General features: G+C 47.0%; 1 long non-coding RNA gene across 1 annotated transcript, besides 1 other annotated feature; it reads right to left on the bottom strand.

The window, feature by feature from the left end:
* Positions 1-2628: 2628 nt before the first annotated feature.
* Positions 2629-5647, bottom strand: LOC124902241 (uncharacterized). Its single transcript, XR_007061717.1, has 2 exons — positions 4804-5647; positions 2629-2971 (listed from the first exon to the last, which is right to left on the bottom strand). It is a non-coding gene; the product is annotated as an uncharacterized LOC124902241 (long non-coding RNA).
* Positions 4432-4726: an enhancer, noted in NCBI's record as "tiled region #15312; HepG2 Activating non-DNase unmatched - State 8:EnhW". NCBI's record gives its function as "activates a minimal TATA promoter and a strong SV40 promoter by Sharpr-MPRA in HepG2 cells {active_cell/tissue: HepG2}" and the evidence as "EXISTENCE:reporter gene assay evidence [ECO:0000049][PMID:27701403]".
* Positions 5648-12079: the final 6432 nt, after the last annotated feature.

Below are 12079 nucleotides of genomic sequence, written 5' to 3'. Positions count from 1 at the left end.
ATTATCATCACAGATGAACATACTGAGGCTGGGAAAACTTGAGGAAGTTGTCTAAGATCACATAGCTAAGTGGGCCAAAGGAGGATTTGAACTCAGATTTGAGTTATTTCAAAGATTGAGAGCTCTTTCCCCACCAAGAGGCTATCTTCAGAGCTGGCTTTCTTTCCCATGAAGGAAAAAAGAATGGGATGGTGTTTTGATTTCCCTGGCTTCATGCTCCCAGCCTCAAAGGAGGTCAAGTTCCTTCCCAGAAGAAACTGATATTTCCTTTTGGAACCCATGACGCCACATTGTTGGCTTCCCTAGGGAGCACCCAGCAGGGTAGAGAGAACCAGTCCTGAGCTCAGGACTCAGAGAAACAGCCCCCGCTTCAGTGAGCTTCCTGCTTCCTGTACTATGGTTGCAGGGGAGGGCTGGGAAGCCTCATAATTATCTTTATCCTTTGAAAATAGATCTAAACACACCTGTCCTCTGCTAAAAACAAACATATAACACTACCCCTCTCCAAGAAAAAACAAAACCTGCAATGGCTCTCCGAGGAAGCAATTGGCTGCAGACTTTTGCTTGTTTTGGTTTCTTTTTAGCTAATACACCTCTTTTTTCTAGAATAGATTCACATGCAGAAGCCCCAAATGTAAAACATTAAAATGTAGCTTTAGAGACAAGTGGCCTGGAACCCCTCGTGTTGAGCCTCCTCCTTGTGCCTGGCATGCACTGGGTGTTATGTGAAATATTTGTTGGCTTAATAAAGAAGGCTTTGGAGCCTGTCTATGGAACCCAGTTGATTATCAACTGACCCTGAGTTCAAGGCTGAGCCTCCAATATGGCATTTAAGCCCCTTGTAAATTTGGCTCTGTCCTAACTTAATCTCCTACCCTCTAGACCAGTGTCTGAGCCACACCAACAATCTCCTCATTCCCCACTTTGCTTGGTTCTTTTTTGCACCTGTGCCTTTGCGAAAGCTGTTTCCTCAGCCTGGGGTACCTTTCCTCTCACTTCTCTTGTTGTGTGAACTCAGAAAACCTTTGCAGCCCAGCTCACATATGCCCTGCTCCATGAAGCTTTCCTTGATTTCTTGTCAATTACCTTGTAGGTCCCATCTTTATGATGATCATGAATCTGCTATAGCACTTCTCATGGCATTGGAAAGCTTTATCTGTCACAGAACTCCTTGGGACAGGGTTTGGAGCTCTTAGTCCATGTTCTCAGTCTAGTACTTGGTCTGGCAGTTAGTGCTCAACGAATATTACATGAATGAATGAATAAGTGAATCAATAGCACAAATTCAACAAATGAATATGGAGACAATAGTCAACCCAATGGAGGTCTGTTATTTGAGTAGTCAGCCCAGGACAGAGCTCCTGGATGAAGCAGCAATGGCAGATACCTGGAAATGTTTGTCATGCCCAAAGAAGGTGGCTGTACCTGCACCAAAATCTGGGGGGCCAGGAATCTATGGGGCTGGGTTTCTACCATCTCCAGCTGGCTGAGAAGTAGCAGCCAAACAGGAGCTAGTTCTTGCAAAAGTGGGGGCTGTCTCAGGACTCCTCTTTTCCAACAATATCCATACCTTCCTCACTCCTCAGTCCCAGACTCAGGCCCTGGAGGTTTTGGAAGAGCCCCTCCCACATTCTAACCTCTGAATTTCCTCGGGAATCTTATAGTTGACTGTTCTGTGGGCCCCCTCCCAGATGGTGATCCTTTTGGAGGACTGGGGTCCTGCCTTATTCATTATTCTCTCTGCTGGCCCAAGGGGGTATCAAGTGTTGGTCTTTGTCTTAAGGGTTCAGTGAATATTAAGTGCTCGGAAAATCTTTGGTAAGGCAGAAAAGTCATTAAATTCCATGAACAAACTATAGCCAAGCCCAGGGTGGGAAAAGAAGCCACGAGGAGCCCCACTATAAGGGAAAACGTGGTAAATGAGCAATGACAACATGGCGGGCTAAATACATGGACATACTTGCATTAAGCAGTGACTAGTGTGCCAGATAACAGTTGCTGTCATACCTGGTAAAGTCTTGCTCATCAGATTATTGAAGGATGATTATAAACATCTCCATTTTCTAGATGAGAAAACTGGGCTTACAGACATACAACAACAATATCAGAGCCATGGCCAGAATCCATATCACTCTGCTGTAGAAATTTTGAAAACATATGACATGAATTTATTGGTTAAGGAAAAAAAAAAGCTGGGCACGGTGGCTCACACCTATAATCCCAGCACTTTGGGAGGCCGAGGTGGGAGGATCACCTGAGGTCGAGAGTTTGAGACCAGCCTGACCAACATGGAGAAACCCCATCTCTACTAAAAATACAAAATTAGCAGGGCGTGGTGGCACATGCCTGTAATCCCAGCTACTCAGGAAGGCAGAGGCAGGAGAATCACTTGAACCTGGGAGGCGGAGGCTGTGGTGAGCTGAGATCACGCCATTGCACTCCAGCCTGGGAAACAAAAGCGAAACACCCTCTCAAAAAAAAAAAAAAAGAAAGAAAGAAAGAAAAAAAGAAAAGAAAAACAAACGTTTTGAAAATAAAAGCCATTCACTTGTAATTTTTTTTTTCATTGTGGTAGGGAAGCACCAGGGAAGGCTTTATGGAGGTGATTATTAATCTGAGGCTTGAAACTCCTTGTCACTGATTCATTTATTCAACCAAAATGTATTGAGCACCTACTAGGTGCCAGGTAGTAAGGACATCCAGAAGAAAAACATACAGGCCTGCCCTCCAGGAGTTCACACTGTCATGATGGAAAAAAAAAAAGAAAAAAATCAGACAGAGGCAATGCTTTGCGTCGAGGGCAAGTATTGACAGCAGAGTCCATGGGAGACTCCTGATCCAGTGGGGGCGTGAGGGATGTCACAGGAGACCCCCGGTCCAGTGTCAGGTGGTGAAGGTGTTCATGAGAGTCCCTTGGTCCAGTGAGAGGGTCATGGGAGGCCCCTGATCCAGTGGCACCCAGTGGCAAAGCCTGGGGAAGAAGGAATATCTGGGATGAGGAATAAGGGCTGAGTCTAGAAGGCTGAATGGGAATAGAAGGGGAAGAAGTATCCAGAGAGACCCTAGAGGGATATATGGAAAGGTCTGGAGGCCAGCCATCTTTCCCTGGGCCCTGAAACAGGCTAATAGCCATTTGTATGTGTGTGAGTTCCAAGCTAACTGAGAAATCTATGAGGCCTAAGCCAGCTTTTCTGGGGTTATTGCAAATCCATCATTGCTCAAAGTTGCATTGTGTAGCTTGAGATTACGAGCTTTGTAAAGTCCCATAGAAAGGGATACAAGAGGCCGAAAGGCATTCCAGGCCACAAGAAAGAATAGCCTTTTGGAAAGATTCTTGGTTCACTTTTTCCCCAGACACCTCCCCTGCCCAGGGGCTGCAGGGACCTCTGGCTTAAGAATGGCCATTGCTCCAGCTGGAAGATAGCACCTGGACTGGCTCAGGGCTAGACAGAGGAGACGGGGAGCTTCAGGTGGTATCACAGGCCAGATAGGGGATCCTGCCATGACCTATGGATGCCTCACAGAGCACTTGTCTTTGTTTGGATGGCTTTTGAAGGTGATTATTATTTTGAAGGATTGATTATTCTAAAGGGACAGACTTCCCTATCCCTACTCCGCTGCATTTACGGCAAAATAAACTTGAAAAAGAAAAAACCCACTCATCTGACTCCAGATCCTATCAGTTTTCCCTGTGCCTCTTCCTCCAGCCATGGCTTAGAAGGGTAAAAGTTCAAGCTATCTCAGATATCTGAAGAAAAGCCCACTGTCCCCCCAACCCTAATATTTGTATAGACAAAAAAAAAAAAATTGGTCTAAATGGGCTCAGAGAAGGCCTGGAGCCAAGTGAGTCCCCAACCTCCCTGGGCTATGTTCTAGTTATGAGAATCTGGGCACATAGCTCACCCTCTCTAAACCTCAGTTTCCTCCTCTGCATGGCATTTGTGTGTGTGTGTGTGTGTGTGTGTGTGTGTGTGTGTGTGTTGCCCAGGCTGGAGTGCAATGGCGTGACCTCGGCTCACCGCAACTTCCGCCTCCAGGGTTCAAGTGATTCTCCTACCTCAGTCTCCCGAGTAGCTGGGATTACAGGCACGAGCCACCATACCCAGCTAATTTTGTATTTTTAGTAGAGACGGGTTTTCTCCATGTTGGTCAGGCTGGTCTCAAACTCCTGACCTCAGGTGATCCGCCCACCTCGGCCTCTCAAAGTGCTGGGATTACAGGCGTGAGCCACCAGGCCCGGGCCTGACACTTCTTAGAATGGCCTGAGTCAATGCAGATAGAGCTCTTGGTACCTGAAGTTATAGGGGTTTAGTTCTCTTCCTCTTTCCCCTGTAGTTTCGGCAATAGAGGCAAGTATGAGCTGGGTCTCTAGACCAGCGTCTTCCCTTCCTCCAGCGACCCGATTTCCCACAGCTTTTCAGCGACCCACGGATGCTGGGTCTTTCCCACTTTGTGCTCCTCCCCTGAAACTACACGGCTCTCCCTCACCACAAGGGGGCGTGCCGGCGCATGGCAGACAGCACTTGCCCTCCAGGTGTTCAGCCTGCTGCATGTCAGGTCCTGGCTTTTTCCATCACTCACTTGGACTTTTTGTTTTACTTCCTCCCTACAATGTGAGACAGACTCTCCCTCCTCTCCCACCCTCTATCCTTCAAAGACTTCAAGCAAACTTCCTTTTAGTTCCCTTGTCAGCTATAGGTGCTGAACTCCCACTACTGCCGACAAGGCCAGTTTTGCTTTTGGTTTTGAGACCAATGTCCATGAAACAAATGTGCAAATCAATAGCTATGGTCAGATACGCACCGTTTGTGTACCACATGTTCAGGGAGTGGAACAAGGGAACAATCCTCTGCTGACTCTGGGGCAGGAAAGCCTTCACAGAGCCTGTAACGTTGTTTGGTTTCAAGCGATTCTCCTGCCTCAGCCTCCCGAGTAGCTGGGACCACAGGCGCTGCCACCATGCCCAGCTAATAGTAGAGACGGGGGTTTCACCATGTTGGCCAGGCTGGTCTCGAACTCCTGACCTCGTGATCTGCCCGTCTCGGCCTCCCAAAGTGCTGGGATTACAGGCGTGAGCCACCGCGCCTGGCCACGTTGAAGTGGGTTTTAAACGTTGGCCTACTGAGGAGAGAGGAATAGGGGAGAGTTTCTAGGCAGAGCACACCAGAGGGCAAATGCATAGAGGGGTGGAAAAAGCCAGGGTAACGAAGCCCTGTTGAATGCGGTGGGGAGGGAGGGAGACCAGACTGAAGGTGTAAATTGGAGCAAGTACGCTGAAAGCCAAGCAGGGAGTTTAGAGTTTGTTTTCCTGAAAGCAGGAATGGAGAGCAGAATGGCGGAGAAGCATCACACAGCACCAGGTATGTAAGCTTCCAACCATGTCTCCAGCAGACAAGAGGGGACACTTCACCAGTGCCCCAGTGGCCTTCCCAGGTACTCTTTTCTGAGTCATCTAACACATCTAACAGAGAACCATCACCTAACACGGCAGTTCTCAAGTTTTTTGGTCTTATGCCCTTTTCCCTCTTAAAAATTGAGAAACCCAGAAGATTTTGTTTTTGTTTTTGTTTTTTTGAGATAGAGTCTCGCTCTGTTGCCCGGGGTGGAGTAGAGTGGCACGATCTCGGTTAACTGCAACCTCTGCCTCCCGGGTTCAAGTGATTCTCCTGCCTCAGCCTCCCGAGTAGCTGGGATTACAGGCCTGTGCCACCATGCCCGGCTAATTTTGTATTTTTAGTAGAGATGGGGTTTCTCCATGTTGGTCAGGCTGGTCTTCAACTCCTGACCTCAGGTGATCCGCCAGCCTCGGCTTCCCAAAGTGCTGGGATTACAGGCGTGAGCCACCGTGCCCGGACTAGTGTTTTTATGAAAATAATTTTGACGCTTATAATCCCAGCAGTTTTGGGAGGCCAAGGCAGGCAGATCACTTGAGGTCAGGAGTTCAAGGCCAGCCTGATCAACATGGTGGAACCCCATCTCTACTAAAAAAAAAAAAAAAAAAAATTAGCCAGATGTGGTGGCAGGCATCTGTAATTGCAGCTACTTGGGCTATTAAGGCAGGAAAATCACTTGAACCCGGGAGGCAGAGGTTGCCATGAGCCAAGATCATGTCACTGCACTCTAGCCTGGGTGACAGAGCAAGACTCTGACTCAAAAAAAAAAAAAAAAAAAAAAAAAAAGTTTTGATTTCATATAACCATCCCCTGAAAATAGTCCTCATACTGCATGTTAAGAACTGCTGGTCTAGCAATAACCAGGCAAATCACCAGAGGAACAAATAACTGTCAAAACAGCAGAGAGAGAAAGAAATCACAGGCGGGATAGAGACTGGCTCAGGGAATGTGAAGGAGCAGGGGCTATAGGGAGGCAGTGTCACTTAGGGTGACTTCGGAATCAATCAACTTAGGTTTGCCACCTGGCTGTCACTTGGTAGCTGTGTAGCTCTACCCTGACTGACCTCAGTTATCCCATTTGTAAAATTGCAAAAGTGCCTCATACGAGCACTTAGCACAGGGTGAGACACTGGACTTGTAAATGATAGCTCAATTTTCTTGGTCCAGAACATAACTTTATGAAAACAGCAGTATTTGTTTAGTAGGCTGTTTCTGCTTCTATAACATGTGTCAGACATGACCCCCAAAGGCACAGACACCTTGAAAAGTCTGGTGTATTATTAGCACAGTCACTTAGTCTAAGGGCACAGTGTGATGTGGCTGCCAAATCAGCAAGACCAAATTTAGGCTGTATTAATAGAGGTATTATGCACAGAACAAGGGAGGTGAGGGCTCCCCTGTAGTGCCTATTGCTCAGCCCCTCCTGAAGTATCGGGTTCATCTGAATGAAGGACTCAATACACTCGCCCCAACTGAGGGACTCTTTTCAGCTGAAGGCTTGGCCAGAGGGTGGGACACGGTCAGAGAAAACGCAACCACTCTTCTCAAAGACCTAAAGGATTGACACAGGAAAGAGGGGTTACATTGGCTCAGGGTGACCCCCAGAAGTGAACTAGAACCTGAGGATAGCCTGGTTAGAGAGGAAGATCAGAGATCCTAACATAGCGACCCTTCAACCACTGGAGTGTCTGAAATCCAAGAGGCCTGAGCTGGAGGGTGTGTGTGCAGTTATTGGAAGTGTGCATGTGGAGGCTGGAAGTCACGCGTGCGGGAGGCACTGCACTTGATCGTGGGGGTCACCTTCAAACCCTTCCCAATTTTGAGTTCCTGTGCCTCTGGAAGAGCAGCAAGACTGTCAGAGGAAATCAAAAGAAAACATTGAGAAGAGACAGTTCCTCGAGATGGGAAGGAGCAGCAGTGGGCATTCTGTTTGACAGGATTGCTTGGTTCTCTGCCAAATTTGACCTGGAGGTTGGATGCAGCTGCCAATCCTGTGGCCTAGAAACAGACAGGAGAAAACAAGGCATTGCTCAGAAACAGCTCATAAAAATAAAAACTTTCTGTTCCCCAAATGCCAAATGCTTGGGCGGTGCTGCCCAGCTGAGTGGGAAGCGCCCTGGCCGCTTGGGAACGCTGAGCCGATCACAGTGAGGCAGGGAAGGCAATGGCACCCTGAGATCAAAGAGGCTCACCCCACGCTCCTGGAAATAACTCAGCAACACGCTCGTCGTGGGAGAAAGGCAAAGAGAACTTCTCTTCCCAGACGGTCTTTGACTTCAGGGTAGGCAGTTGGCACCCACATCCAAAACCAAACCTGGCCTTTGTAAAGATGTTTTCAATCCACTCTCTCACTTGATCTCCACCAGCAACCTGGGGCAGGCATCCGCAGCTCTATTTTGCAGATGAGAAAACAAGAGCAGAGGTAGACTGATTTGGCTGAGGTCACCCAGCTGATGTGGCTGTGAAGATAACAATTGGGGCCCGACGGACTCCAAGTTCAAACCCAGGCCCTCAGACCTGGCCTCAGCACAGGCTTTCTGGGAGTGCAGCTGTCAGTGTGCTCTCCAACTAAGTCTCAGAATGCATGCCCATCTGGAACTGGTCAGTAGAACCCTGCAGTCTCCACCACCAGCCAGCTCACTGCATTATGTGTCAAGTCTTTCAGAACCTGGTGGAAAAGTCTTTGGAGCTGAGGAAGGAAAAACAGAGCTGCCTTTGAGGCACTGTTCATTGACCATCTTAGGCCACTTTCAGAACCGAAGGGTTCCGGAAAAGGTAAAGAGGAGCTTAGGGCCACAAGAAAGATGACAAAAGGCATCCCAACTATTGTTCATTGTCTGTTTATCCATCCAATGATGCCTCAGCATCTCCTTTGGTCTTTGGTCCAGCCCTTCACCAGGTTCTGGGGATACAGAGATGAAAGGCACAGCCCTGAATTTGAGAGAGCTCACCAGTTTTCTCTCGTTCAGTACCTTCAGTGATACACCAAATGCAGATAATCCCAGTTCAGGGTGTTCACTTTTATGGCAGATACTTAGAAGCAGCTGAGGGAACCCAGAGGAGTTCCTGGCCCAAATTAGAGGGGAAAAGGGGGTCACGGGAAGGCTTCCTGGAAGAGGGGCCATATTTTGTATATAAAAAAAATTAGCAACATAAAGGAGGTGGGAAAAATTCCAAACCACATAGCAATTGCTCCTTGTTCACGGGACGCATGAATCAGAACAGCAACATGCACCAGGACAGAGAGGAGGGCACAATGCCAGGGTGCGGGTTGCACTACCAGCCTAGCCTGTGGGGCTGCTTTTTCCCCTAACCACCAACCCTGTCTCTCACCACAAGCAGCACCTGAAACACACTGGTCCTAAACTCCAAGCAGGTGGTAACCTTCCAGTGGAACAGCAACTAGAGCAGAACAAATAAGGCCCTTCCTTTCCCATGTAGCTGAGCTTTCCTAGAAGCTCCATCATAGGAGTGCTACACTAGGAAATCTAAAGACATTTCACTTCCATTTCCAAGTCCACTTCAAATATGAATGCCTCGGCTGTGCAGGAAAGTGGCCAAGCCGAGTGGCAGCTCAGCACAAGAAAGGGAGCAGAGTGCTGCTGGGCGCTGGTTACCTTCAGGGAAGGTGAAATTATACTGAGGATAATGGGAGCCAAGTTTCTCACTGCCCTGGAAGGAGTCTGAAATATGGGAAGGGAGAAGATAGAATGAAGCTTATGGCATTTTTATTTTTTGAAACAGGGTCTCCCCGTCACCCAGGCTGGAGTGCAGTGCCGTGATCTCGGCTCACTGGAGCCTCAACCTCCTGGGCTCAAGCGATCCTCCCACCTCAGCACCCCCAAGTAGTTGGGACCACAGGCATGCACCACCATACCTGGCTAATTTTTGTATTTTTCGTAGAGACAGGGTTTCACCAAGTTGCCCAGGCTGGCCTTGAACTCCTGGACTCCAGCGATCCGCCCACCTTGGCTTCCCAAAGTGCTGGGATTACAGGCTTCAGCCACCGCGCCCAGCCTGAACCTTATGGCATTGGATCAGAATTAATGGTACCAGAGTGAACTCCCTTTTCAGTGTCTATGTATCAAATGTAAATGTAAGGATGTATTTACTGTGTGGACACACTTAGACGGCTTGGGAGCAGTGAGACTCTAATAGCAGTGAGCACGCCTAGAGCAAGGGTTTGCTTTCTAAATACAGTCTACATTAAGGGGAGCTAGAGCTCCTTGATAAATAGCCGATTCCAGGACTAGGGCACAGGAAATGCAAGAGCCTGGAATACATTACTGTGCCAGAAAGTAGGGAAGTACTCAGAGGGTAATGGCATGTCGAAACACAGAAGCCAGCTTTAAGAAAACACACAATCAGCCAGGTGCAGTGGGCTCACGCCTGTAATCCCAGCACTTTGGGAGGCCGAGGCAGGCGGATCATTTGAGCTCAGGAGTTCGGGACCAGCCTGGCCAATATGGTGAAACCCTGTCTCTACTAAAAAAAAGAAAACACACAATCACAGAACTCGGGACAATTCCAACATCAAAGTAATGATGGTAAGGGATTATGTACCATCGAATAAAATAGGAATCAAAGACCATACAGATACGACTAATAAATGGGGGGAAAAAGAGTAAGAATACAGGACAATGTTAACTAATAAAGTAGAAGGAATTTGAAAATCACCACTTGGAAACCATTACAGTAGGCAAGAAACAATAATACTAAAAAGAATGGGCCAAACTTTGATGAGAAATAGGATATTTACGAAGGCTCAAAATATCTCCCTATAAAATATTTATCCAATACAAAGGGACAAAGAGTAACTTTCCAGGGGAGACTGGCTGACACCACCTGCCTCAGGGTCCAAGTGACCACCACCAATGATGGGACAAATTGACACCCTGTGTCACCTTATGGGGTGCAGCTAGAAGGGCACAACAGCACTTCTGTTTCCTCCAAACACGCATACCAAGGGTAGTAATGAGGAAACACCAAACATACATTGAGGGACATTTTATAAGACAACTATCCTACAGTCTTCAAAAAATGTTAAGGTCATAAAGATCAAGGAGGGAGAGGGACTGAGAAAGTGAACTGGAGATTCATTAAACGCAGTTAAACACAGTGTGTTAACCTGGATCAGGCCCTTTTGCTTGGAGGACAATGTTGGTACAAGTGTAAAATTTTATAAGGTTCTCTAAGGTGGTGGTGGGGTATGTGGGAGCTCTGGTGCTGCTCCTGCAACTTTTTCTGCAAGTGTGAAATTGTGTAAGTATGAAGAAACTGCCAGTGCTCTTTGCAAAAATGCAAATATGGTATAAAAATTATAAAACCATCTTGAATTACAACACTTAAAGATATGACTGAAAATATTTTACAATTAAGTAGTAACAAACTGGTTAAAAAGCAGTTTAACTTTGCAAGTTCCTTAGAATCGAAGACAATATAAAAATTATAGTCAAAATGCTGTTAAGCAGAAGCAGACCTAATTGACAGCTCCCTATACAAAAAATAACAACAAAAAAACGCCTACAATGAACTTAAATGTTAAGCTGCAAGAATCACTCCAGGGTCCATAAAATCATTCAATAAACAAAAAACTGAACCCTCAAGCTGTTCTAAGACATAGTCCCACCACCAAATATTCTCAACAAAATTTCAATGAATTTTGAAGCAATATTATTGTGCTCAAATCTGCTATTGTGTGCAAACAAAACCCATATGGCTTGTACAATTGTGCAGCCAAACAAAAGCAGTTTTAAAACAATTTTGGACTTACAGAGGTGGAAGCTGTCAACATCCAAATCCAGTTATCCATATAAAACATCCCAAGAGCCTGAGGTGGCAACCCAATCGGCAGTTGCAGTCCTGGTCAGCACACTGAAGTGTGGAGGGCCATTTACAGCTGAGAAGCCTGTGATGGTTTTGTGTCAACCTGATTGGGTGAAGGGATACCTAGATAGCTGGTAAAATGGTATTTCTGGTGTGTAGGTGAGGGTGTTTCCAGAAGAGTTTAGCATTTCAATCAGTAGACCAGAGTACATCTACTGGATGATGCCCACCCTCACCAATGCAGGTGGGTGTCATCCATTCTGTTGAAGGCCCAAACGAAAAGGCAGAGGAAGAGTCAATTTGCTCTTGAGCTGGAACGTCCACTTTCTCCTTTTCTGGGTACCATGGGCCTTACACCAGTGCAACTGACCCCACCCTTGGCCATCTCAGGCCTCTGATCTTACTGAACTACACCAGTTCCTCTCCTGGTTCTCCAGCTTGCAGACAGCATACTGTAGAACTGCTAGGTCTCCATAATCAGATGAGTCTACTTCCATAATAAATCTCCGTTTGTTTTTTTCTGGAGAACCATGACTTACGCAAAGCTCATCTAGAAAGCTAACAGATATGTAGGAGAGAGCTTCCGGATCTTTTCAACACGATAAACACGGCACTTGTATAACACGCTGGGAAAACAGATGAGGTTGCCTGGGGCTAGAGCCCAGGTTCCCCAGCTGCCTTGAAGACGACCTCATGGGCTGAGGAAAATCACCATCTCTAAACATCTACACCTATCGCAAGCCGAGTTAGGAAGCTCTGGAATAGGAAGATGAGGAGTGCGTTAAGTCAAAGGCAACAAGAATGGAAAATTAAGTATGACTAAGACATGAAGCAGAAGTCTGGGATGACTGTTTTCTAAT

This window comes from Homo sapiens, chromosome 9 (assembly GCF_000001405.40).
Source record: "Homo sapiens chromosome 9, GRCh38.p14 Primary Assembly".
Classification (NCBI taxonomy): Eukaryota; Metazoa; Chordata; class Mammalia; order Primates; family Hominidae; genus Homo; species Homo sapiens.
This window is presented reverse-complemented; position numbering and strand designations above follow the sequence as displayed.